Source organism: Homo sapiens, chromosome 6 (assembly GCF_000001405.40).
Source record: "Homo sapiens chromosome 6, GRCh38.p14 Primary Assembly".
Classification (NCBI taxonomy): Eukaryota; Metazoa; Chordata; class Mammalia; order Primates; family Hominidae; genus Homo; species Homo sapiens.
The window spans coordinates 162,985,919-163,012,214 of NC_000006.12; the positions used below are offsets into that span (position 1 = coordinate 162,985,919).

A 26,296-nucleotide genomic window follows, 5' to 3' on the forward strand; every position below is an offset into this window, starting at 1 on the left:
ATCTGAGAATCAAATCAAGAACTCAACCCCTTTCACAATAGCTGCAAAAATAAAATAAAATAAAATACTTAGGAATGTACCTAACCAAGGATATAAAAAACCTCTACAAGGAAAACTACAAAACACTGCTGAAAGAAATCATAGTTGACACAAGCAAATGGAAACACATCCCATGCTCATGGATGGGTAGAATCAATGTTGTGAAAATGACCATACTGCCAAAAGTAATTTACAAATTCAATGCAATTTTCATCAAAATACCACCATCATTCTTTACAGAACTAGAAAAAAATCCCAAAATTCATATAGAACCAAAAAAGATCCCACATAGCCAAAGCAGGACTAAGCAAAAAGAACAAATCTGAAGGCCTCACATTACTTAACCTCAAACTATACTATAAGGCCATAGTCACCAAAACAGCATTGTACTGGTATAAAAAAGGTACATAGACTGATGGAACAGAATAGAGAACCCAGAAATAAAGCCAAATACTTACAGCCTACTGATCTTAGACAAAGCAAACAAAAACATAAAGTGGGGAAAGGACACCCTGTTCAACAAATGGTGCTGGGAATATTGGCAAGCCACATGTAGAAAAATGAAGCTGGATTCCCATCTCTCACCTTATACAAAAATCAACTCAAGATAGATCAAAGACTTAAATCTAAGACCTAAAACCATAAAAATTCTAGAAGATAATATTGGAGAAACCCTTCTAGATATTGGGTTAAGCAAAGACTTCATGACCAAGAACCTTGAAGCAAATGCAACAAAAATATGATAATTAGATAGGACTTTATTTTTTGTCTTTGTTTTTGTCTGATTGGATTAATTCGAAAGCCTTGTCTTTTAACTCTGAAGTTGTTTTTTCTGCTTGTTGTAGTCTATTGTCGACAATTTCCAGTGCATTTCATATTTCTTTAAGTGTGTCTTTTATTTCCAGAAGTTGTGATTGTTTTTTCTTTATGATATCTGTTTCCCTGGATAATTTTTCATTCTTATCCTGTATTTTTTTTCAATTTTTTAAAGTTGGCTTTCAACTTTCTCTGGTATCTCTTTGAGTAGCTTAATAATAAACCTTCTGAATTTTTTATTTGGCAATCCAGATATTTCTTCTTGGTTTGCATTAATTGCTGAAGAGTTAGTCTGGCCTTTTGGTGGTGTTATAGAGCCTGTTTTGTCATATTACCAGAATGTCTTTTCTGATTTCTTCTTCTTTGGGTAGACTACTTCAGTGGAAAAATCTGGAACTCAAGTCTGCTCTTCAGATTCTTTTGTCCCATGAGTTGATCCCTTGATGTGTTGTGTTCCCACTTCCCCTAAGGTTGAGGCTTTCTGAGAGCCAGATTGCATTGATTGTTATTGCTCTTCTGGGTCTAGCCACTCTGTGGAGCTACCAGGCTCCAGGCTGGTGCTGGGAAATGTCTGCAAGCTTCAGGTCTCCCAGCCATGGATACCAGCATGATATGGTTTGGCTATGTCCCCACCCAAATCTCATCTTGAATTGTAGCTCCCATAATCTCCACATGTCATGGGAGGGAGGTAATTGAATCACGGGGGTGGGTTTTTCCCATGCTGTTCTCATGACAGTGAATAAGTCCCACGAGATCTGATGGTTTTCTAAAGGGCAATTTCCCTACATACACTCTCTTGCCTGCTGCCATGTAAGACAAGCCTTTGCTCCTCCTTCACCTTCCGCCATGATTATGAAGCTTCCTCAGCCAGGCGGAACTATGAGTCCATTAAACCTCTTTTTCTTTATAAATTACCCAGTCTTAGGTGTGTCTTTATTAGCAACATGAGAACAGACTAATACACAACACCTGCTCTGGTGGAGGTGGCAGGGGATTGAAGTAGATAGACTCTGTGAGAGTCCTTGTTTGTAGATATGTTTATTGTGCTGACTTTCTCAAATGCTGATTATGCTAGCAGTGAAGTTGTCCCATGGACAGACCCAGGACCTCTGGTTATCCAGGATGCTGCAGGCAGTGGAATTAGCTGTTGTTTTCTCCTTCCTTGGAGCAGGGTTATTATGTCATGAGTTGCTGTAATGTCCTGAGTTGGTTGGCCTCCACCCAGGTGGTGGCACATTCAAGAGAACACCAGTTTTGCACCCGTCTCATGGAATTTGCAGTGGCATGCCATTTCTTTCAAGGGATCTGTGAATTCTTTTGGTTTTCCTGGTACATTCTTGAGGTGGTTCTTGGAGCAAAAGTCCATGGTATGAGTCTCCACATGCTTTTCTCTCCATCCAAGTGGGAGCTGCATGTTAGCCCTGTCTTCTATCTGCCATCTTCCTCTCTGAGTCCAGGAGCAATTACTTTTAAATTGAGGAAGAATGTTGTGAATTTCACTAGGGACACAGAGTGGGATTGGAGCAGAGATTTAACTGAATAAAGAGGAGAAGGGTCAATCGAGGTAGAGAGAGCAATAGATGCAGGTTCAGCATAGGTGAAAGCTGGGACGCTTGAGTTGAGGAGACAGTAGCAATGAAGCCGGACAGATGGATATGCATGGGGCAAGCCTTAGAAGAGCAAGTTGAGGAGTTCAGATTTCATTTATTGGGTATGAAAACAGCCACATAGCTGTTTTGGAAAGGGAAGTTGTTTTGGATAGGATCAGCTATGTTCTACAGAAAGCTATTATGTAGCCATTCTATGTAGAATCGTTGGAAATTGGTAAATTTTAAAATGTTCATAGACTTTAATGAGGTAATCCTGTTTCTGAGAGTTTATGCTAAGGAAACAACTGAATCTATTGAAACAGTTTTATGTGCAGCATATTCATTAAAATGCCAAACAAGAAAGGGAATGGTTATATAAACTATGGTGCAATCTCTTAATGGAAAATTAAGAAAACACTATGAATTTAAAAGTTTACAAAGAGTTCTTAATAATATGAGAACAATAACAGGTTATAGTAAAAGAAAAAGCAAAACTGAAAACTATGAGTATGGTTTGATTACAGTAGTTTTACAAAATTTTGTGGGGGCAAATAGGCAGGAGCTACTGACTGGTGAAACTATTGGTTTTCTTTCTACATTACAATGTTCAATACATTTCTCTAAGCATGTATTAGTTATGCGACGAAAAAATTCAATATACTTTTTAAATAGCCCAATCAAGAATAGACACGTCCAGTGCTACTACTCTGGCAAGACATGAACCAAGCAATGGCAGTGAGAATGTAGAGAAGGGGGCAGATTAAGATTTCAGGTGGAACATTGTTCTCATAGACATAAGCATAAGAAAGACCTAAGGCAAAAAGGACACTACAGCTCTGACTTCTACAGCTGGTTAGATACTGATGCTCTAGGTCACAACAGCAACTGCAGGAGGAGAAACAGGGTCAGAAGAGGAAACTTCCTAAGTTTGATATTGAATGTGTTTATTTGGAAGGATCCTGAGGATACCTGACAGATGTATCATAATGGCAGATGGAGATAAAAGTACGGTCATGCCTCAGTAGTGGTGGAAGGTTTGTTCCAGGACCCCTTTCAGATGCCAAAAACCATGGATGCTCAAGTACCTGACATGAAATGACATAGTATTTGCATATAACCTACACACATCCTCCTGTATACTTTAAACCATCTTGAGATTACTTATAATACCTAATACAATGTAAATGCTATGCAAATATTTGTTACATTGTGTTGTTTAGGAAATCATAACCAAAAAAATGTCTGTTCATATTCAGTACAGACACAACAAATCCATTTTTATGAATATTTTCAATCCTTGGATTGAATCCACAGATTGAAAACCCGCAGATATGGAGGGCTGACTGTGTTCAGTACTTCCTTTTTTTTTTTTTCTTTTCTTTTTTTTTATTATACTTTAAGTTTTAGGGTACATGTGCACATTGTGCAGGTTAGTTACATATGTATACATGTGCCATGCTGGTGCGCTGCACCCACTAACTCGTCATCTAGCCTTAGGTATATCTCCCAATGCTATCCCTCCCCGCTCCCCCGACCCCACCACAGTCCCCAGAGTGTGATGTTCCCCTTCATGTGTCCATGTGATCTCATTGTTCAATTCCCACCTATGAGTGAGAATATGCGGTGTTTGGTTTTTTGTTCTTGCGATAGTTTACTGAGAATGATGATTTCCAATTTCATCCATGTCCCTACAAAGGACATGAACTCATCATTTTTTATGGCTGCATAGTATTCCATGGTGTATATGTGCCACATTTTCTTAATCCAGCCTATCATTGTTGGACATTTGGGTTGGTTCCAAGTCTTTGCTATTGTGAATAATGCTGCAATAAACATACGTGTGCATGTGTCTTTATAGCAGCATGATTTATAGTCATTTGGGTATATACCCAGTAATGGGATGGCTGGGTCAAATGGTATTTCTAGTTCTAGATCCCTGAGAATCGCCACACTGACTTCCACAATGGTTGAACTAGTTTACAATCCCACCAACAGTGTAAAAGTGTTCCTATTTCTCCACATCCTCTCCAGCACCTGTTGTTTCCTGACTTTTTAATGATTGCCATTCTAACTGGTGTGAGATGATATCTCAGAGTGGTTTTGATTTGCATTTCTCTGATGGCCAGTGATGATGAGCATTTTTTCATGTGTTTTTTGGCTGCATAAATGTCTTCTTTTGAGAAGTGTCTGTTCATGTCCTTTGCCCACTTTTTGATGGGGTTGTTTGTTTTTTTCTTGTAAATTTGTTTGAGTTCATTGTAGATTCTGGATATTAGCCCTTTGTCAGATGAGTAGGTTGCGAAAATTTTCTCCCATGTTGTAGGTTGCCTGTTCACTCTGATGGTAGTTTCTTTTGCTGTGCAGAAGCTCTTTAGTTTAATTAGATCCCATTTGTCAATTTTGGCTTTCCTTGCCATTGCTTTTGGTGTTTTGGACATGAAGTCCTTGCCCATGCCTATGTCCTGAATGGTAATGCCTAGGTTTTCTTCTAGGGTTTTTATGGTTTTAGGTCTAACGTTTAAATCTTTAATCCATCTTGAATTGATTTTTGTATAAGGTGTAAGGAAGGGATCCAGTTTCAGCTTTCTACATATGGCTAGCCAGTTTTCCCAGCACCATTTATTAAATAGGGAATCCTTTCCCCATTGCTTGTTTTTCTCAGGTTTGTCAAAGATCAGATAGTTGTAGGTATGCGGCGTTATTTCTGAGGGCTCTGTTCTGTTCCATTGATCTATATCTCTGTTTTGGTACCAGTACCATGCTGTTTTGGTTACTGTAGCCTTGTAGTATAGTTTGAAGTCAGGTAGTGTGATGCCTCCAGCTTTGTTCTTTTGGCTTAGGATTGACTTGGCGATGCGGGCTCTTTTTTGGTTCCATATGAACTTTAAAGTAGTTTTTTCCAATTCTGTGAAGAAAGTCATTGGTAGCTTGATGGGGATGGCATTGAATCTGTAAATTACCTTGGGCAGTATGGCCATTTTCACGATATTGATTCTTCCTACCCATGAGCATGGAATGTTCTTCCATTTGTTTGTATCCTCTTTTATTTCCTTGAGCAGTGGTTTGTAGTTCTCCTTGAAGAGGTCCTTCACATCCCTTGTAAGTTGGATTCCTAGGTATTTTATTCTCTTTGAAGCAATTGTGAATGGGAGTTCACTCATGATTTGGCTCTCTGTTTGTCTGTTGCTGGTGTATAAGAATGCTTGTGATTTTTGTACATTGATTTTGTATCCTGAGACTTTGCTGAAGTTGCTTATCAGCTTAAGGAGATTTTGGGCTGAGACGATGGGGTTTTCTAGATAAACAATCATGTCGTCTGCAAACAGGGACAATTTGACTTCCTCTTTTCCTAATTGAATACCCTTTATTTCCTTCTCCTGCCTGATTGCCCTGGCCAGAACTTCCAACACTATGTTGAATAGGCGTGGTGAGAGAGGGCATCCCTGTCTTGTGCCAGTTTTCAAAGGGAATGCTTCCAGTTTTTGCCCATTCAGTATGATATTGGCTGTGGGTTTGTCATAGATAGCTCTTATTATTTTGAAATATGTCCCATCAATACCTAATTTATTGAGAGTTTTTAGCATGAAGGGTTGTTGAATTTTGTCAAAGGCCTTTTCTGCATCTATTGAGATAATCATGTGGTTTTTGTCTTTGGCTCTGTTTATATGCTGGATTACATTTATTGATTTGCGTATATTGAACCAGCCTTTCATCCCAGGGATGAAGCCCACTTGATCATGGTGGATAAGCTTTTTGAGGTGCTGCTGGATTCGGTTTGCCAGTATTTTATTGAGGATTTTTGCATCAATGTTCATCAAGGATATTGGTCTAAAATTCTCTTTTTTGGTTGTGTCTCTGCCCGGCTTTGGTATCAGAATGATGCTGGCCTCATAAAATGAGTTAGGGAGGATTCCCTCTTTTTCTATTGATTGGAATAGTTTCAGAAGGAATGGTACCAGTTCCTCCTTGTACCTCTGGTAGAATTCGGCTGTGAATCCATCTGGTCCTGGACTCTTTTTGGTTGGTAAACTATTGATTATTGCCCCAATTTCAGCTCCTGTTATTGGTCTATTCAGAGATTCAACTTCTTCCTGGTTTAATCTTGGGAGAGTGTATGTGTCGAGGAATGTATCCATTTCTTCTAGATTTTCTAGTTTATTTGCATAGAGGTGTTTGTAGTATTCTCTGATGGTAGTTTGTATTTCTGTGGGATCAGTGGTGATATCCCCTTTATCATTTTTTATTGTGTCTATTTGATTCTTCTCTCTTTTTTTCTTTATTAGTCTTGCTAGCGGTCTATCAATTTTGTTGATCCTTTCAAAAAACCAGCTCCTGGATTCATTGATTTTTTGAAGGGTTTTTTGTGTCTCTATTTCCTTCAGTTCTGCTCTGATTTTAGTTATTTCTTGCCTTCTGCTAGCTTTTGAATGTGTTTGCTCTTGCTTTTCTAGTTCTTTTAATTGTGATGTTAGGGTGTCAATTTTGGATCTTTCCTGCTTTCTCTTGTGGGCATTCAGTGCTATAAATTTCCCTCTACACACTGCTTTGAGTGCGTCCCAGAGATTCTGGTATGTTGTGTCTCTGTTCTCGTTGGTTTCAAAGAACATCTTTATTTCTGCCTTCATTTCGTTATGTACCCAGTAGTCATTCAGGAGCAGGTTGTTCAGTTTCCATGTAGTTGAGCGGCTTTGAGTGAGATTCTTAATCCTGAGTTCTAGTTTGATTGCACTGTGGTCTGAGAGATAGTTTGTTATAATTTCTGTTCTTTTACATTTGCTGAGGAGAGCTTTACTTCCAAGTATGTGGTCAATTTTAGAATAGGTGTGGTGTGGTGCTGAAAAGAATGTATATTCTGTTGATTTGGGGTGGAGAGTTCTGTAGATGTCTATTAGGTCCACTTGGTACAGAGCTGAGTTCAATTCCTGGGTATCCTTGTTGACTTTCTGTCTCATTGATCTGTCTAATGTTGACAGTGGGGTGTTAAAGTCTCCCATTATTAATGTGTGGGAGTCTAAGTCTCTTTGTAGGTCACTCAGGACTTGCTTTATGAATCTGGGTGCTCCTGTATTGGGTGCATATATATTTAGGATAGTTAGCTCCTCTGGTTGAATTGATCCCTTTACCATTATGTAATGGCCTTCTTTGTCTCTTTTGATCTTTGTTGGTTTAAAGTCTGTTTTATCAGAGACTAGGATTGCAACCCCTGCCTTTTTTTGTTTTCCATTTGCTTGGTAGATCTTCCTCCATCCTTTTATTTTGAGCCTATGTGTGTCTCTGCACGTGAGATGGGTTTCCTGAATACAGCACACTGATGGGTCTTGACTCTTTATCCAACTTGCCAGTCTGTGTCTTTTAATTGGAGCATTTAGTCCATTTACACTTAAAGTTAATATTGTTATGTGTGAATTTGATCCTGTCATTATGATGTTAGCTGGTGATTTTGCTCGTTAGTTGATGCAGTTTCTTCCTAGTCTCGATGGTCTTTACATTTTGGCATGATTTTGCAGCAGCTGGTACCGGTTGTTCCTTTCCATGTTTAGCGCTTCCTTCAGGAGCTCTTTTAGGGCAGGCCTGGTGGTGACAAAATCTCTCAGCATTTGCTTGTCTGTAAAGTATTTTATTTCTCCTTCACTTATGAAGCTTAGTTTGGCTGGATATGAAATTCTGGGTTGAAAATTCTTTTCTTTAAGAATGTTGAATATTGGCCCCCACTCTCTTCTGGCTTGTAGTGTTTCTGCCGAGAGATCCGCTGTTAGTCTGATGGGCTTCCCTTTGAGGGTAACCCGACCTTTCTCTCTGGCTGCCCTTAACATTTTTTCCTTCATTTCAACTTTGGTGAATCTGACAATTATGTGTCTTGGAGTTGCTCTTCTCGAGGAGTATCTTTGTGGCGTTCTCTGTATTTCCTGAATCTGAACGTTGGCCTGCCTTGCTAGATTGGGAAAGTTCTCCTGGATAATATCCTGTAGAGTGTTTTCCAACTTGGTTCCATTCTCCGCATCACTTTCAGGTACACCAATCAGACGTAGATTTGGTCTTTTCACATAGTCCCATATTTCTTGGAGGCTTTGCTCATTTCTTTTTATTCTTTTTTCTCTAACCTTCCCTTCTCGCTTCATTTCATTCATTTCATCTTCCATTGCTGATACCCTTTCTTCCAGTTGATCGCATCGGCTCTTGAGGCTTCTGCATTCTTCACGTAGTTCTCGAGCCTTGGTTTTAGCTCCATCAGCTCCTTTAAGCACTTCTCTGTATTGGTTATTCTAGTTATACATTCTTCTAAATTTTTTTCAAAGTTTTCAACTTCTTTGCCTTTAGTTTGAATGTCCTCCCGTAGCTCAGAGTAATTTGATCGTCTGAAGCCTTCTTCTCTCAGCTCGTCAAAGTCATTCTCCATCCAGCTTTGTTCCGTTGCTGGTAAGGAACTGCGTTCCTTTGGAGGAGGAGAGGCGCTCTGCGTTTTAGAGTTTCCCGTTTTTCTGTTCTGTTTTTTCCCCATCTTTGTGGTTTTATCTACTTTTGGTCTTTGATGATGGTGATGTACAGATGGGTTTTCGGTGTGGATGTCCTTTCTGTTTGTTAGTTTTCCTTCTAACAGACAGCACCCTCAGCTGCAGGTCTGTTGGAATACCCTGCCGAGTGAGGTGTCAGTGTGCCCCTGCTGGGGGGTGCCTCCCAGTTAGGCTGCTCAGGGGTCAGGGGTCAGGGACCCACTTGAGGAGGCAGTCCGCCCGTTCTCAGATCTCCAGCTGCGTGCTGGGAGAACCACTGCTCTCTTCAAAGCTGTCAGACAGGGACATTTAAGTCTGCAGAGGTTACTGCTGTCTTTTTGTTTGTCTGTGCCCTGCCCCCAGAGGTGGAGCCTACAGAGGCAGGCAGGCCTCCTTGAGCTGTGGTGGGCTCCACCCAGTTCGAGCTTCCCGGCTGCTTTGTTTACCTAAGCAAGCCTGGGCAATGGCGGGCGCCCCTCCCCCAGCCTCGCTGCCGCCTTGCAGTTTGATCTCAGACTGCTGTGCTAGCAATCAGCGAGATTCCATGGGCGTAGGACCCTCAGAGCCAGGTGTGGGATATAGTCTCGTGGTGCGCCGTTTTTTAAGCCGGTCTGAAAAGCGCAGTATTCGGGTGGGAGTGACCCGATTTTCCAGGTGCGTCCGTCACCCCTTTCTTTGACTCAGAAAGCGAACTCCCTGACCCCTTGCGCTTCCCACGTGAGGCAATGCCTTGCCCTGCTTCGGCTCGCGCCTGGTGCGTGCACCCACTGGCCTGCGCCCACTGTCTGGCACTCCCTAGTGAGATGAACCCGGTACCTCCGATGGAAATGCAGAAATCACCCGTCTTCTGCGTCGCTCACGCTGGGAGCTGTAGACCGGAGCTGTTCCTATTCGGCCATCTTGGCTCCTAGTACTTCCTTATTTTTAAGCCTGAGTAATATCCTGTTGTGTGTATATACTACATATTCTTTACCCATCCATTTGTTGAAAGACATTTAAATTGTTTCCATATCTTGGCTATTGTGAATAATGCCACAATGAACATGGGAGGATAGATATCTCTTCGTGATCCTGATTTCAATTCCTTTGAATATATACCCAGAATTGGGATTGATTGCTGGATCATGTGATGTTGGTCAAAGGGTACAAAGTTTTAGCTATGCAAGAAGAATAATTTCTGGAGATCTAATATACAGTATGGTGATGGTAGTTACAATACTTCATATTTGTATACTTGTAATTTGCTAAGAGAATAAATTAAATCTTCTCACCACTCGTGTGTGTGCATGCACACACACACCACACACATGCACAGAGATAATTATGTGAGATAATGGACATGTTTATTAGGTTGATTGTGGTGATCATTTCACAGTGTACACATATATCAAGACATTAAGCTGTATACCCTAAATATATACAATGTTTATGTGTCAATGATATCTTAAAGCTGTTATTTAAAAAGGGGTCATTACTGGCAAAAATACAATAAAATCATCACTTTCAAGTCCCATAATGGAGGTGATAAAAGTAATTTAGTAATATGTTCACATCCTTCAAATCAAATATAGAAAATTCGTTTGTGCTTTGATCCAAAATAGACCCCCCCAAAACCATTATACACAAAGATGCTCTAGGTTAGAGCTAGAGAAAACAGAAACTGAGAAAAATGAAACATTCCACCAAACTAGGGGAATGGCTAATTAAATTATGATGAATCCATTCAATGGAATATTATATAACAATTTAAAATAATATATTAACAAAATGAAGTACTCATGCCAAATTTTAAAAATAGCATGTGGAATTTATACACACAGTAAGACTTTGGCCTTATACAATATTATATAAATAAGTCTAGACTAATCACATTTCAAAGTATTAACAGTAACTGTCTCAACTCTTGTTAGTAACATTATGGGCACTCTACTCTTTCTTCTCTTGTTTTTCAAATTCTTTTCTACCAAGAGCACACATTACTCTTAAAACTAGAGTTTTTTAGAAAAATAGAAAGAATATATGCTAAGTAATCAGGGTTAAAATGTAGACTGGAGAATCCTATAGTGGCATAAGTCATGGGTAGTCATTAAACTCCAGGGAGACATTATGTTGTCTCTCTTAATAACTGTTTAGTACTAGATTTTATAAGATAAACTAAAACATTTTAATGATTCAGTCATTTGTTTACCAAAAGTCAATTAGAGCCTTAGGCCTTTGTCATTTTGTGATGTTCAATGAATGAACATAGTGTTTAAAATTGGTTTGATAAAGATAAAACTTGACATTAATGTACAGTAATCCATTTTCTTACTTTTCTTCAGAAAATATGTCATGCTCAATTTTAATTTCAAGAAAATATAGAGCAAATCTACATAAGGCAAAAACCCTAAAGATTTGTTTGCCCTAAGATATGTTGTGCTGACTATAATTGGATTGTCGGAATGCATCTGACATATGCTAATGAAAAAGTAAGAAAGCCAAAGTATGGTTTATTTGCTTATATTAGTCCTTTTTGTAGTCAAACCAGCAACACTTATTTACCTCCTTCTTAGATTCTAGGAATGAAAAATTACAAAACCACATCACCTTGGCCCTTAAGTAACAGATGAAAACTACTGACAGACGGCAGCGAATCATGTCTTCCAATGAATAGCAGAATAATGCTGGAAATTGGAAAAATTCAATGTCAAGGTGGGCCCAAGGATTCATAACAGACTTCATAAAAGAGGTGACAATTTGACATAGGTCTTGAAAGCAACGCAGTGGTAAAGAAGAGAGACCTTCAGATAAACTCACTAGATTATTCTTCAAAGTGGTGATTTCAGTTTCCATTCTAATCAGCCAGGAATGGGAGTTCCCATGTTCCTCCTGCTAGCCAATACTTGACATTGTCAGACTTTTAATCTGTGTTTGTAACATTGGACATCTTTTGCTATATTAACTTGACACTATATGTCTTCTCTTCAGTGAAATGCCTGAATATTATGCCCAATTTCTCTTGAGTTGTTTATCTTTTTCTTATTGACTTGGAGGAGTTCTTTTTGTAGTCTGGATGCTAATTCCTTGCCAGGAGATACACTCCCTCCTTTCTCAGAGCCAGACTGCCTGAATTGTACACGTCATAACAGTATGTCCTTAAACAAGTTACTTAGCCTCTCTGGCTTTAGTTTTCTCAGGAGTTAGATTGGGATAATAATAGTACCTACCGTAAAGAATTGTGAAGATGAAATGGGTTAATATATGGAGCACATGGAACTCTGTTCCGCTGGTAGTGCGTCATAATAGGGGCAGGCTGTCAATGTTGTTACTAACATTATTGCAACCTCCCACCCAGGTGAACGATTTTCTAACCCACCTTTTCCTGAAGGGTGCTGTCCTCTAGGAGTCCTAGCTTTAAGCAGGAATCTTAACTCCAACTTCGTACTTGATGTGGATCTGAGGACTTGTCTCCAGTCCTCATGCCGTATGCAACTCAGGATCTCCAGGACTGAGAAAGCCTTCAGGAGGCCCATGGTCTCCATCACCTGGCATGACTTTCCTGCTTCCTCTTCCTTTCTGGCCCTTACTTTTTAAAGGATTAATGTGAGCAGGTATTTGTTATTTTGTTCTGCAATGTTTCTGCATCTTTAACAAAAATTTTAAGAGAGAAGTTGCTTGTAAACTACTCAGTATGTCATGTTGATGAACGTAGAAGTCTTTGTCCATTCTTCCCTCTAGCATGGTGTTCTTTTCTTTATGAGAATTCATTCTTTGTTAAGCATATGAAATGTTTTCTCTCATATTGTGGGTATATTTTTATATGCAGTACAATTTCATAGTCAAATCTGACCACTTTGACTTTATTATTTCTGCTCTAGAAGCATGCTTAGAAAGATCCCTCTTACCCCAAGATTACATTAAAAATGTTTTTATTATTTGTATTTCCATCCTATATGTTATATGATACCAAATGTCATTTAGAATTGATTCTGACATGTGAAGTCAATTAGGGAATCTAACCCTTTTCTTCAAAAATGTTTAGCCAGTTATCACAACCCCTCTTATTGAGTGATCACTCTTTCCTTAGTGGACAAAGCCCTAGATGTGGGAATTTCCATCGACCTGGCTGCCAACTGTACTTTGTATTCCTTCTGCAGGGCATGGCCAGCAGTCACAGCACCAGTCTGCTGTTTCTCACACCTGAATAGGAAAGAACTTGCACTATTCCCTACTGGACAGACATTCATATTGGCAGAAAGAATATGAAAAAAAAGTGACATTTTAAATTACTTGTGCAATGAGTCCAAAAACATTATGACTAGAAATACCCAAATAATTATGGGCAGAAATAAACATAAATAAGAGGATATCAAGAGATTGCTGGAAGCCCCATTCTTATTGGTAGGAAGCAGTCAGGGCATCTTCGTTCCTCTCATTAGAACTATTACGTTTCAGAATGCAAATCCTAGCTCTGGTCCTCACTGAGTGTATAGAATGGTACAATTTATTTAACTTACCTTTGCTAATTCAGCAGACATTTTTCAGCACCTGTTATGTGCAAGTTGTTTACTGGCCTGTGAGTTTTAGGTACCTTAATCATAGCCTGCATTAGACAGATGTATGCCAGAGCCCTGCTCTTAGTAGAAGCTCAATACAAGATTGGATAGTTGCTGCCCACCTAACTCTTCAGACCCTCAACCAATTTAAATTGGATTAAACACACACAAAAAATTCAGAAACAAGACTGGCTTGGCCTTCTATGTATTTCCTTAACATTTTAGTGACACATAGAATTCCTTTCTTAAAGGGGATTAGCATTCTACATAGTAAAACATTTTAATTATAAAAATTATATTTATTACATGAAGTCTGTTCTTCCCAGGCAAGGTCTAATCCACTATACATGACTCATTTTCTTGTGAGTTTTACTTTAGCCTCAGCCTTTCAAAATTTCCGAGTGAAATATCATTAATCCTGGTGATTCATGGCCTGCGCCTGGTATTTTGCAGTCTTTAGTGTGAAATCCTTCATTTAGAAAACTGCAAATGGAGGTGAGAACCTAACATATTACTTTGGAACATTAATTATGAAACATAATTACAAACACAAATGCCTACAATGGTAATAATTTTACAGTTTGTAATTGTACCAGAAACCTCCAACTGGATGTACTTGTAACATCCTATGGTTGGATTCGTTTCAATGGATTGCAAAAGAGTGAGCCATCAGCAGGGTTCTCTGTAGATTAGTCTGATCATTAAGATCCTTGTCCTGGGTTACACATCCGAGGTAGCAGTCAACTGAGTCATTTTAGTCTAGGCCATCCAGGCCAGATTCACTTTTCCTCCCTCTTGAAGACCTGGAGGACAGTCTCTAAATGCAATCAGGCTTCATCTGTCAGTGGGCAGTGCCTAGTCCCTGAGATAGTGCCCTCCCGCAGGTTGTGGTGCAGGGTACTCGGAGGGTCAAAAACTTCTTGCTGCATTTTCTGTTTTCGCGCTGGACAGACTTGCCCAGAAGTCACCCTCTGAGAACACTGTTGGAGATCACTTCCTGGGCTTTCGAGTGAGGGAACCCCCATTGCACTCCCATCACACTCCCCATACCAGTGGGTCCTGTGTGGTCCAAAGGGGTCCCTGTCGCTCCAAACAGAAGAGAGTGTGGTGGCATCCTTATAGCATCATGTTGGGAGCCTTTGCAGAGAAACTGATCTGGATTTAAACTGTAGCTCTGGCATTCTCTCCCTGTGTGGCCTTGGGCATGCATCTTAACTTGCTTCATGTGTAAAATGGGTACATCGCAGGGTGCCATGAGGACTGGGGATGACACACATGGCCCAGCAGGAACTCAACAAATGGAAATTCACGTGATCGTCATTTCATATCACAGTACACAGCATTTATCTATCTGAGGCTTGATATTGAACACTCCTATGCTGCAGGCTCTGTGTTAGAAAAGGAAGACACAACAATGAAAGATGCAGTCTCTACCCTTGGGGAGTTTATGGTTTAGAGAGGAGAGAATTAGGAAAATGTGAAATTACCTATGAGCCAAGGCAGGCCTGAATAGTAGGGGCTCCTGAAACACTTAGGGAGCTCTTAGCCCAGCCTCAGATAGCTGCTGAGGCAAAAACCTCCTGAGAAGCTGATGGCCATGATTTTGAAGGAGAGGCAAGAGTCTGCCCCGGGAAGGCCGAAAGAGCCCTGTCTGCAGAGGTGGTGGCACTTGCGAGGCCTTGGGGATGGGTTACAGGTGTGCATGGCTCCCAAGGACCTTGGCACAACCACACAGCTGAGTCCTTTGTATGCTGCAGTGTAAGCTGAAGACTCTGAAATGGGTGGGTTGTGAACTGTTCAATAACCTATTTGATGCACTGTCCAAAGAGTTAATGAAATCTGAACAAGGAGGAAATGGGTCTCCAGGAGGAGAATAGCAGACACCACAATTCTCCAAAGAGCTTTTGAGTGGTGCTACTGGCCACGGGGAGATCAGTGCTCTAGGATCCAATAAACCTGCTCTCTCCACTGTACACACAACTTTCATATTTATGTATCTCCCAGTCCTAGCTCCAGAGAACGTCCCATAAGAACCAGGGTGAGCCAAGAGTTTTTTATAATGAAGTGGGAGTGGCAGCCGGTAAACAGAAAGCAGAATAGGTTTGAAAGCCTTCAGGCCAAATCAAAGAGAACAGAGAAAGAGAAAACCACAGGTCTCTGTGGGTAACTTCTGATATGACTCAAGTCTCTATCTTGTACACTGGAAATAGCAGCTTTTCTAAGAACATGATATCCTTTCTCATTTATACGGTATAATTGTTACTTTAGGGAATTGTCTTCACTCTATTTGGTTCTTGGTGGAATTTGATTTCATTATATGATCTTGTTTGTGGGTTTTGGGGCTTAAGCTGTAGACAGCATTCACTTATTCACACAATAAAATATAGAAGTTACGCTGATAAGATTTTGCTATAATTTTTATACAAGGTAATTAAATTCCAGCCTAATGTGCCAAGACAGAACATTATTATATACATTTGGCATTTGTTTAGCCCCAGAAAATTCACTCATCCAAGAAGTCCACTGATAGTGTACCCATCTAATATAATTACCCTATTATGCATAAAATAATGTGTTTAAAGAGTTAGGGAACCTGCTTTCTTCACTGCAGCAAGTTGTAAATGAAATGAAATCACCCTGGCTATAATATTAAAAGTATTGAGAACATTTTTTACTCAGTCTGCTCTAACTGAGTGAAGGCAAATTTTTCAGAACGACAGAATATTGTACACATTTCTTTGGAGGTAAGAATCTTAAGAACTTCTCATTAAAATGTTACTTAGGTTGATCTATATAACACATTCTAGGCCTCTCTAGTTGACAGCAAAGTAATACTGGTGCCTGTGTGTTGCATGTAACTGTGGCAGTTCAGGAATCAGTTCCAATTTGCTGACCATCACAGCATTCGTTCATTGCTAGATAAGGTTTCTCGTAGCACAATTTCTTGATTGACGGTCAGTCAGACTCATCTGTTTATCTTTAAAGCCTTCCTTCCACTTGACCTTCAAAATGCCTTCTAATGCTATATATACAAATAGAAGGTGAAGAAAAATCATTTGAACCAAACAACAGAGTAATTTCAAAACTATCTTTTTCAGGTTAAAAAAAGAGCAGAAATGATTAAGAAAAGAGCAACTATACCTTAATTATCTTGGCATTGCCCACAGTGCCTTGATCATGATATACACCCAAAAAGTAGTCACTGAATAAATGAATGAATCAGTTAATCATTTAGTTAATGAAAGAAATGTCTTCACGTTTTGCAAAACAGTTTGGTTAAGTAGTTGGTGGAAGTTCTGTTTATTGACAAATGACTAGAGGAAAAGATTACTGTAGATAATCAAGAGACTAGAAATGGCTACTTTCTGTGTGTGAAAGTGTTTTCTTGCATTCAAACTCTATTTCTGAGATAGGTCTACCTATTAGTGACTGCCAGACCTCAGAGAACCTTGACTCCTCTGCAGCAGGACCATAACCCTGAGTCCTAAAGGCTGGATGCTGTCCTCAGATGTGTTTGATAAACCTGTGCAATTATTTTTTGAGACTCTCAAATATTGAGAATTTTCATGTCCAAATTTCTGGCTTCTTTGGCATACTGCAATTTCTGGCAACACTAGACCCATATTCTTATGTGTCAATGAATGTCTGTGGTTAAGTAACACCCACCCCTTCTAGATGGCATGTCTTGCCTAGTTTTCTTCATTCTCACCAGCTGCTGCTAACTCCAACATGGCAGTCTAGTGCCAATCGATGTTTATTATCTTCTTTGCATTATTACTTCTCTTAAAGTAGGTGAATACTTCTATGGCCCCAGATTGCCTGGATAAGTACGTGTTGTCAGAAAAAATGAAAGAGAGCAAATTTTCATTTGGAAATGGGATAATCATCTCTTGCTGATTAATATGCAAATGAACCATGTGTGGGGAAAGAATACCATAAAGCTTGCTTCAATAATTCACTTTACTTGCATAATTCCTGTAAGCATTTGAATGTTAAACCCTTGCTTTACAAATATCTGTGAGGAAGGGAAGAGGAAATTGAGCCTGTTTGCAATACCAGAATCAAGTCAGAAAAAAAATAAAATGGAAAAATCTGGGAAAGTATAGACAGCAGGAGATAAAAGGAGAAAGGAAACATTTCCAACTCAAACTTCCCTTTTTTCTATATCCACTTCTTGCCAAATATTGTTTTTAATTATTCTCTCTCTTTTCATTTTCAGTTTTAATTATTCTTAAACTCTTCCCATCTTCTCCCCAGGAATTTTTTGGCTTATCAACAGCTGGAGGTAGGATGGGCTTATAAGGAAATGAAGTCCAACACCAACAATAGTAATCATGATAACAATATCTGTCATTTATTGCCCTTCTTCTCTCTGCCTGCCACCAGGTTAGGGGATTTAAATACATTAGCCTTAATCCTCTCGATAATTATTTAAGATAGCATTGCACCCCCATTCTTATAGATGACATGACCAAAGCTTACAATGATTAAGTAATCTTCCCCAGCTAAAAAGAGCAGAACAGAGATTCAAATTAGATCCACTTGATCGCACTATGCATGCTCTTTCCACTTGGACTTGCTTAATAGTTGGCTAATCATTCCAACTGGATCATTAACTCATGCTTAAAAAGATAATGACCATATCAATCTCTTTCAGAGTTCATTGATCTTGAATTAGAATTTACAAAAAAAATTCTCTTCCAATAATGTAAACCACAGTTAGTCTTTACTTTCCCAAACAAACTCATGAAAAGATTTTAAAATTTCAGAGCTTTCATTGCATAGTTTTCTAATATTTGAACATATATATTATTATATATACAGAATATTAGCTATAATAAATATATATTTCAAATATGTATATGAACATATATATCATTATATATAAAGTATATTAGCTATAATATTGTATTAGTTTGTTTTCATACTGCTGTAAAGAACTGCCTGAGACTGGGTAATTTATAAAAGAAAGATGTTTAATTGACTCATAGTTCAACATGCTGGGGTTGGCCTCAGGAATCTTACAATCATGGTGGAAGGTGAAGGGGAAGCAAGACACCTTCTTCACAAGGCAGCAGGAAGGAGAAGTGCCAAGGGAAGGGGGAAGAGCGCCTTATAAAACCATCAGTTCTCATGAGAACTCACTCACTATCAGGAGAACAGCATGGGGGAAACCACCCCCATGATTCAGTTACCCCCACCTGATCTCTCCCTTGACATGTGGGGATTATGGGGACTATGAGCATTACAATTCAAGATGAGATTTGGGTGGGGACATGAAGCCTAACCATATCAAATGTATACAAAGTTCTAGTGTGTGTGTGTGTGTGTGTGTGTGTATATATATATACACACACACACACACACATATCTGCAAATTTAATCTATGTATGGGATTTAAACTATTTTCTAATGAAAATACTTATTTGTTCGTTCATTCATTCAGAGCAGCAGTATAGAGATGAAAACGGAGAGGCAAAATCTGATCCTACCATTTACTAACTACAAGGTCTTGCTCAAACTACTTGCCTATCTTTATTTCAGTCTTCTTATTTTAAATTAAGATGAAGAATGCCAGCTTTATATGAAAAATAAATGAGTATATAGGGATATTCAGGTCATCTATTTCTTTTTGACTATGCTTGAATAGCTTGTTTGTTTCAAGAAATTTGTCCATGTCATGTAAGCTGTATTAATTGTCATAAAGTTCTTAATAACTTCTCTTATTATACTTTTAATGTGGAATCTGTAGTGGTATCACCCCTCTCATTCCTCTAAGTGGTAATTTGTGTCTTCTCTCTTTTTTGTGATCATTTTTGCCAGAGGTTTATTAATAGTATTTACCTTCTCAAAGAAAAAGTTTTAGGTTTCATTGATTTTTCCTTATTATTCTTCTATTTTATATTTTACTAATTTCCACTCAGATATTTATTATTTTCTTTGTTCTGATTACTTTGGTTTGCATTTGCTATTCTTTTACTCATTTCTTAAGGTTGAACCTGAGGTCATTGACTTCAGACCTTTCTTCTTCTTTTCTAATAGGGATTTTAGTGCTGTTTCCTTCTAATTATTACTTTAGTAGTGGCCCACAAATTTTGATATGTTTACTCTTCACTCAGTTAAAATACTTAAAAATTTTTCTTCTTATTTGTTCTTTGACACATGGGTTTTGTTTATTTTCCATCTATTTAGGGATTTTCCTGTTACTAATGCTCATTTAATTTCATGTGGTCAGATAGCTTACCTTGTGTAACTTGAATTATATTAAATTTATTTGTTTACAAATGTATTTGTTTATCTCTATTTTTAATTTTTATGGGTACCTAGTATATATGTTCAAATATTAGAAAACTATGCAATGAAAGCTCTGAAATTTTATATATATATAAAACGTAGTTATACATGTTATATATATACAACATAGTTATACGTGTTATATATATACAACATAGTTATACGTGTTATATATATACAACATAGTTATACGTGTTATATATATACAACGTAGTTATACGTGTTATATATATAACATGTATATATATAACATGTATAACAGTTATACATGTTATGTGTATAACATTGTTCATAACAGTTATACATGTTCTGTGTATAACATTTATATGTTATATACATTATATATGTTATATATAACATATATAACTATGTATAACATATATATAACTATATATGGGTTTTGTTTATATATATAATATATAATATATAGAAACAAAACCCATATATATTATATATTATTATATATAATATATTATATATAATATAAAACATACATATATATAAACCCATATATATATATATATCCCATATATATATATATGTATATATATGGGTTACATGAGATATTTTGATATGGGCATACAATGTGTAATAATCACATCAGGGTAAATGGGGTATCCAAAATTCTTTTACATTTATTGAGTCTTATGAACACGAATATGTTCTATTTTCGTAAATGTTCTGGGTGTAAAGAAGATACATGTGTGATACTGTGGGTTATAGTGTTCTATAAATGTCAATTTAGGTCAATAAGTTGACAATATCATTTAGATCAATTGATAGATAATGTCCAATTTTTCTATATGTTTACTGATTTTTTTGTATACTTGTTCTATCAGTTATTGAGAGAATGGCATTGAAATATCTGACTATAGTTATAGATTTTTTAATTCTTTTTGCAATTCTATTAGTTTTTCTTCATATATTTTGGAGCTCTGTTATTAGGTGCATAACTCTTTAGAATTATTATGTCCTCTTGATAAATTGACCCCCTTATCAATATAAAATGACCTTTTTTATTCGTGGTAAATTTCTGTACTCTGAAAACTACTTTGTTGACATTAATTTAGCCATTCCAGCTTTCTTTTCAATAATGTTAGCATTATTTTATCTTTTTTCATTTTTTAATTTTAACCTATTTGTGCCTTTATATTTAAAGTATGTTTCTCGGAGGCAGCTTATAATGTTGGCTTCTCTTTTATACAATCTGGCAATGTCTGCCTTTTGATTAATTGCTTCTATTATGATTATGATGTGGTTGTTTCATAAATGTGTTATTTTGTATTTTTATTTGTCCCATGTGTCCTGGTTCCATGTTTTTCCTTTTGTTAAAATCTTCTGTTGGGTTAAGTATTTTTTATGATTCCCTTGTATTTCATGTATTTGTTTCAAATTTTTGTTGTGTAATTTTAGTGGTTGTCTTAAAGTTTGCAGCACATATTTTTAACTTACCACACTAGAATGTCAAAAGAGATTATACCATTTTATATATAGTATAAAAACATGGAACATTTTTCCATTTTCCCTCTTAACCTTTGTGCTGTATTATAGCTTTTACTTCTATATATTATAGATCCTACAATACATTATTACTTTTACTTTTAACAATTATCTTTTGGAGACTTAAACAATAAGAAAAAATTTTTCTATTTTCCCATATAGTTGACATTTCTGATGCTCTTCATTCCTTTATGTAGCTCCAGACTTTCATCTGGTGTCATTTTCCTTCTCCTTAAATAACTTCCTTTCATATTTCTTGAAGTGCAGATTGGCTGGTTATAAATTCCTTTGTATGTATGAAATGTCTTTATTTTGTGCTCCCTTTTGAAAGTGAGACACCCTACTCTGTCTCCTCAGCTTGGGAGACCACTGGACTCTGCTGGGATCCCCTTTTTGCTATACTGACTGCAGACTTTCTCCAGGCAGTGAGCTGGGCAGTGACACCCTTCCCCCATTTGTGTCCTGCTTCTTAGGGGTGACTGCTTCCATTGTCAGATGTCCAGTGCCTTGAGAAACTATTTTATCTCTTTTACCTGTTTTTTAGTTGTTTCAGGCATAACAATTAATCAGGTCGCTCTTGCTCCATTTTGGTCAGAGGTGGGATCTCTGGGCTCTAGATGGAACTGGATTTTCCTGAGAGTTCTTCCCAGTCCACCCAGCTAGAACAGAGCGGCCTTCTCACTGGACACTGGGCATTTTGGTCCCAGGTCATAGAAGAGCAGCATCCTCACAGTGTGACCTCAGCTGAGCCTTCCACTGCGTACTTGGTTTCATTTTAAGTCCCCTCTCTCAAGACTTCCTAAATGTCAATTATCTGACCCACCTGGGCACTACATAGAATATTCTTATTGTTGTTGTACTGGATTTACAAACTCTAGAAGCACATTAGAGAAAATGAAGGGACTTTGCTAAATTTTAAGCTGTTCCTTGAGCTGCCCTCAATGTTATTTTATCCTTTTAGAGTCCAAGTTTTTCCATAGTTCCCCCTAACGCAAATGCACACTCATGCTCACTCTCTCTCACGCACACACTAAGACACAAGGGAGTATTGCTCAGGCCCTCAAAGACAGATCGCCACAGGGACTTCTGTGAGACACTTTCTCAGCACATATTTTCCAGCCATAATGTCTTCCGAAATCAAAGCCAACCTAACAACAGAATTTCCCCAGTAAAATCACAGCTAATTGACTCTGAATTTGTAAACGAGGCACACATCCAAATCCATGTGGGATCTTGTTGTGACCAGCGTGTGTTTTCCAGATTCTCTAAACTCACAGAGTGAAAAGAGGGTCATCTATAACAAATCCTCTCAGTAGGAGATCCCTTCCTTTCTCCAATTTGAGAGGCCCACAGAGTAATCATTAGACAAAGGATCGTTTGTGTCAAGTTTTAAGAAAATTTGGCCAAAGCGATTTAATCAAGCCCAACGGAAAGCTTTCTACGAGAGCCTGGGCCACCAGGAACTTTATTCTCGCCATCCGAGATAGCGGCTCAGCACCTCACATGGTAAGAGGACTATGTATTCCTTTCCCTTCGTGAAGGCTCTCAAGTTCTGACCTGGGACCTGAGAAATGTTTGAATTGGGTAACGTGAAAGGAGCTTCTAATCTACTAAACAGAACATCCATACATGTCATGTCCTGAGGATAAATGTTGGCATCTCCTGTGATTGAAGCTTAGCACTCCTGACCTCCTGAGGTGAAACTTCAATGAGCTTTAGCTCTTTCAGCCATGAGTTGTTTAGGCTTGAGCTAAGCACATTACCTGAGCTGGTTTCTGTTTCTTTATCTGTTGGTACAAAAGGGAGGTGACAATTTGCTTTCTAAGATCCTTTCCAGATCCAACAGACTTTGATTATTTTTGTTTAGGTACTGGGCAAAATTACTCTGAATATAATGCTGTTTAGTTCAGTAAATTCTAAGAAACAGACTAAAATGTGTATGACCAATATACTGGGTCCATGTGACAACAACAACAAAATCCAGATAACTGGCAAAATCTAAGCCATTGACTTAATTCTTTACACCTTATTGAGGCTAATTCATTAATAAAACAGGTCATCCATTGAGATTTCATGTGACCATAAATAATGAGTGGCAGAGTTAGAATAAAGTCTAAGATAGCTCAAAGTTTTTCATCCTGTGCAAAGCTTTCACTCTATATATTATTCCATAAAATAAAAATATGCCATATTAAAGGAAAGAGAGCTCAGAATTGAAAATGTAAAACTTCCCATCACTTCAATTTATCCTGTTAGCATCTCAAATTCAACGTTACATTAACATGGTTCATTACACTTAATGATTTCAATAGCAATAAAGACAATAGTTTTCAGAAATCACTTAGATCTTCCCATGGTCTTTAGAAAAAGATTTGGTTTACTTTCCTGCATAGATCCTTTCCAGGATTTTTAATCTAAACATGATTTCTTTGGCAATCCAAATTATGAAAATTATTAGCACAGCTAGCCACTACTGCATCCTTACAGTGATGAACAATAAGCTAATTAGGTGTGTAGTGGCATATTCTATCGGTGATTAACCAGCTGGGATGGAGTTATTTACACCTCTGGAAGCTGTGTAAATCTTACACTTCTGAAGCTGGCAATAGAATTTTAAACTTACACTTAAAAGGCTGATAAACACTTTAAATATAAGCTTTATTGTTGTTATAAAATTTCATTTTTTATGAGATTTGCATTCCTTTCATTGATTAAATACTCATATCTTCATACATTTATATGTTTGTGTTTATGTGTATATATCTGGTCCTGTGTAGGCAGAAAACATTAAAATGTGCAGATTCAAAGGAAATGAGAATTGATGCTAAACTTTGTGGCCTTGTTAATGTTTTGGATTCAAAATCATTTTGAAGATCTAAGGTCCCAATAGTATTTCATCTAGTAAAAATAAAACTGCGATTCCCTTAGCAACATGCTACAGTACAGGGCCCATAAAGTACATTTGAAAACCAAACGACTGTAAAGTGATCCACTATAATCAAATCTGTCTTGCTGTGCTAGATGATATGAACTGTTCTTTAATTGTTGTTTTGCAGAGATAAATAAAGCAAAACGCTAGATTCTGATTTATGTAGCATTTTACAAACCAAAATCCATTTTTAAAAAAATTTTGTATCGCATTCCCTCAGAAGCACCAGGGAGAATTGAGGACGTCATGCTGATGACTTTTATTAGTGTGCTGACATATAAATGATGCTACCTGTGAGGAGTGGGTAGGAGAATGGGCCTAAATGCAATTATCTCCCACTTCATGTCCAATCCTACTCATCCATCAGTGCAGCCCCTGGCTCCTTTATAGACGGGCCCTGCCTGCCCCACCTCATTTAGCCCTCCTCCTCCTGTAGTCCTAGCAACTGTTATCCTACCTTTATTTCATCATGTAGCCAGAGTCTGCCAAATGACACCTTTTCAGTCATTGTTAGACGAGTCTTGCTATGTTTTATCTTCCAAGTGTGGGTCTCTGGGAGCTTCATAAATAGCATCCACCAGGATTCTGAATAAATTGCAAATTCGGTCACTCAACGAGAAACACTCAATGTATCAGGCACGGTGCTGGGCAGAAGGAGACCCCAGGGAATGACACGGATATAAAGGTGTGTTCTCCTGGAGCCTGTATTCCAACTGGAGGAGACAAAAGTAAACAATAACCCGAGAGGCTGTGCAGTGACTGAGCGCGGGCCCCTCCAGAGTTACTCAGTGGGGCAGGCACTGCAGGGTTGCTGAGCCGGGTCCGGGCTCCCTTAGGAGGATCTGCTGCAGTGAGATGTGCGGCCCAGAGGAGCAGAGGAAACTCTTTTCTGCACATAGGTGCTCTCAGGTGGAAAAGGGAGAAGCTGTGCCAGATTTATCAATCAGGTGAATTAGCTCACCTCCCCTGGAAAGCAGTGAGTAAGGGGTAGAGAAGAGGAAGAAAAGGGGCTGGGAGGGTGGGCTTCCTGTCATGGAAGATTTATCAGGAGTGGAGACCTTCCTCCTGCTGCAGTCATGCGACACTTAATGACTGGGATACCCTCTAAGAAATGTGTTGTTAGATGATTTTGTCACTGTGCAGGTAGTGCACTTACACACACCTGGACGGGACAACCCCACTACACACCTAGGCCCTGCGGTGTAGCCGATTGCCCCCAGGAAATAAACCCCTACAGCAAGTGATCGTCCTGAATACTGTAGACAATTGTAACACAATGGTAAGTATTTGTGTATCTAAACATAGAAAAGGTGCAGTGAAAATGTAGTATAAAAGATAAAAAATGGTACACCTATATAGGGCATTTGCCATAAGGCTTACAGGACTGGAAGTGGCTCTGAGTGAGTCAGTGAGTGGTAAGTGATTGTGAGGGCCTAGGGTATCACTGTACACTACCAGGGACCTCATAGACACTGTGCACTTAGGCTACACTCCATTTATACAAAATAGTTTTCTTCAGTAAAAAATTAACCTTAGCTCACTGTAAGTTTTTTACTTTATAAACTTTCCAATTTTTTAACTTTTGACTCTTTAGTAAAAACAGCTTAAAACACAAACACATTATACAGCTGTACAAAATATTTTTTCTTTACATCCTTATTCTATAAGCTCTTTATTTTTAAAATATTTTATTTCTTTTTACTTTTTAAACTTTGTTGCTAAAAACAAAGACACAAACATACACATTAGCCTGAGCCCACACAGGGTCAGGAGCATCCATGTCACTGTCTTCTACCCCCACTTCTTGTCCCACTGGAAGGTCTTCAGGGGCAATGGCAGGCATGAAGCTGTATCTCCTGTGATCACAGTGCCTTTTTCTGGATGCCTCCTGAAAGAACAGGTGTCACACTAACTGAGCTCCTGTCACACGGAAGGAAACACCAGGGGTAGGAAAAAAGTTCCACCCTAACATCCACAAATAGATGTGTTTCATGAGGACAAGGAGCAAGTTCTTACACTTCTTGATATTTACATGCCTAAGATTTGTTGTCCTAATTAACATATTGTACCCCTTTTATTCTAATCCTAAGGTCCAAAAGAAAA

At 38.3% G+C, this 26,296-nt stretch overlaps 1 protein-coding gene across 21 annotated transcripts in view, besides 1 other annotated feature; it reads left to right on the forward strand.

Annotated features, from left to right (window-relative positions):
* The window catches only part of PACRG (parkin coregulated), a 588,369-nt gene that overhangs the window by 258,787 nt on the left and 303,286 nt on the right, over positions 1-26,296 (forward strand). Inside the window, exons 1-2 of one of the 21 annotated variants that reach the window (XM_017010282.3) lie at positions 11,185-11,403; positions 11,488-11,626. The exons of 19 other annotated variants lie outside the window; for them this stretch is intronic. The gene's annotated coding sequence lies outside the window, so the exon portion shown is untranslated. Of the gene's footprint in view, positions 1-11,184; positions 11,627-26,296 lie in introns of those variants that run through there. One more of the 21 variants, XM_017010281.3, reaches the window with a different exon arrangement.
* Positions 8,890-9,527: an enhancer, noted in NCBI's record as "OCT4-NANOG-H3K27ac-H3K4me1 hESC enhancer chr6:163415840-163416477 (GRCh37/hg19 assembly coordinates)". NCBI's record gives its function as "activates a minimal SCP1, AML or CMV promoter by ChIP-STARR-seq in primed H9 embryonic stem cells {active_cell/tissue: H9 hESC(primed)}" and the evidence as "EXISTENCE:reporter gene assay evidence [ECO:0000049][PMID:30033119]".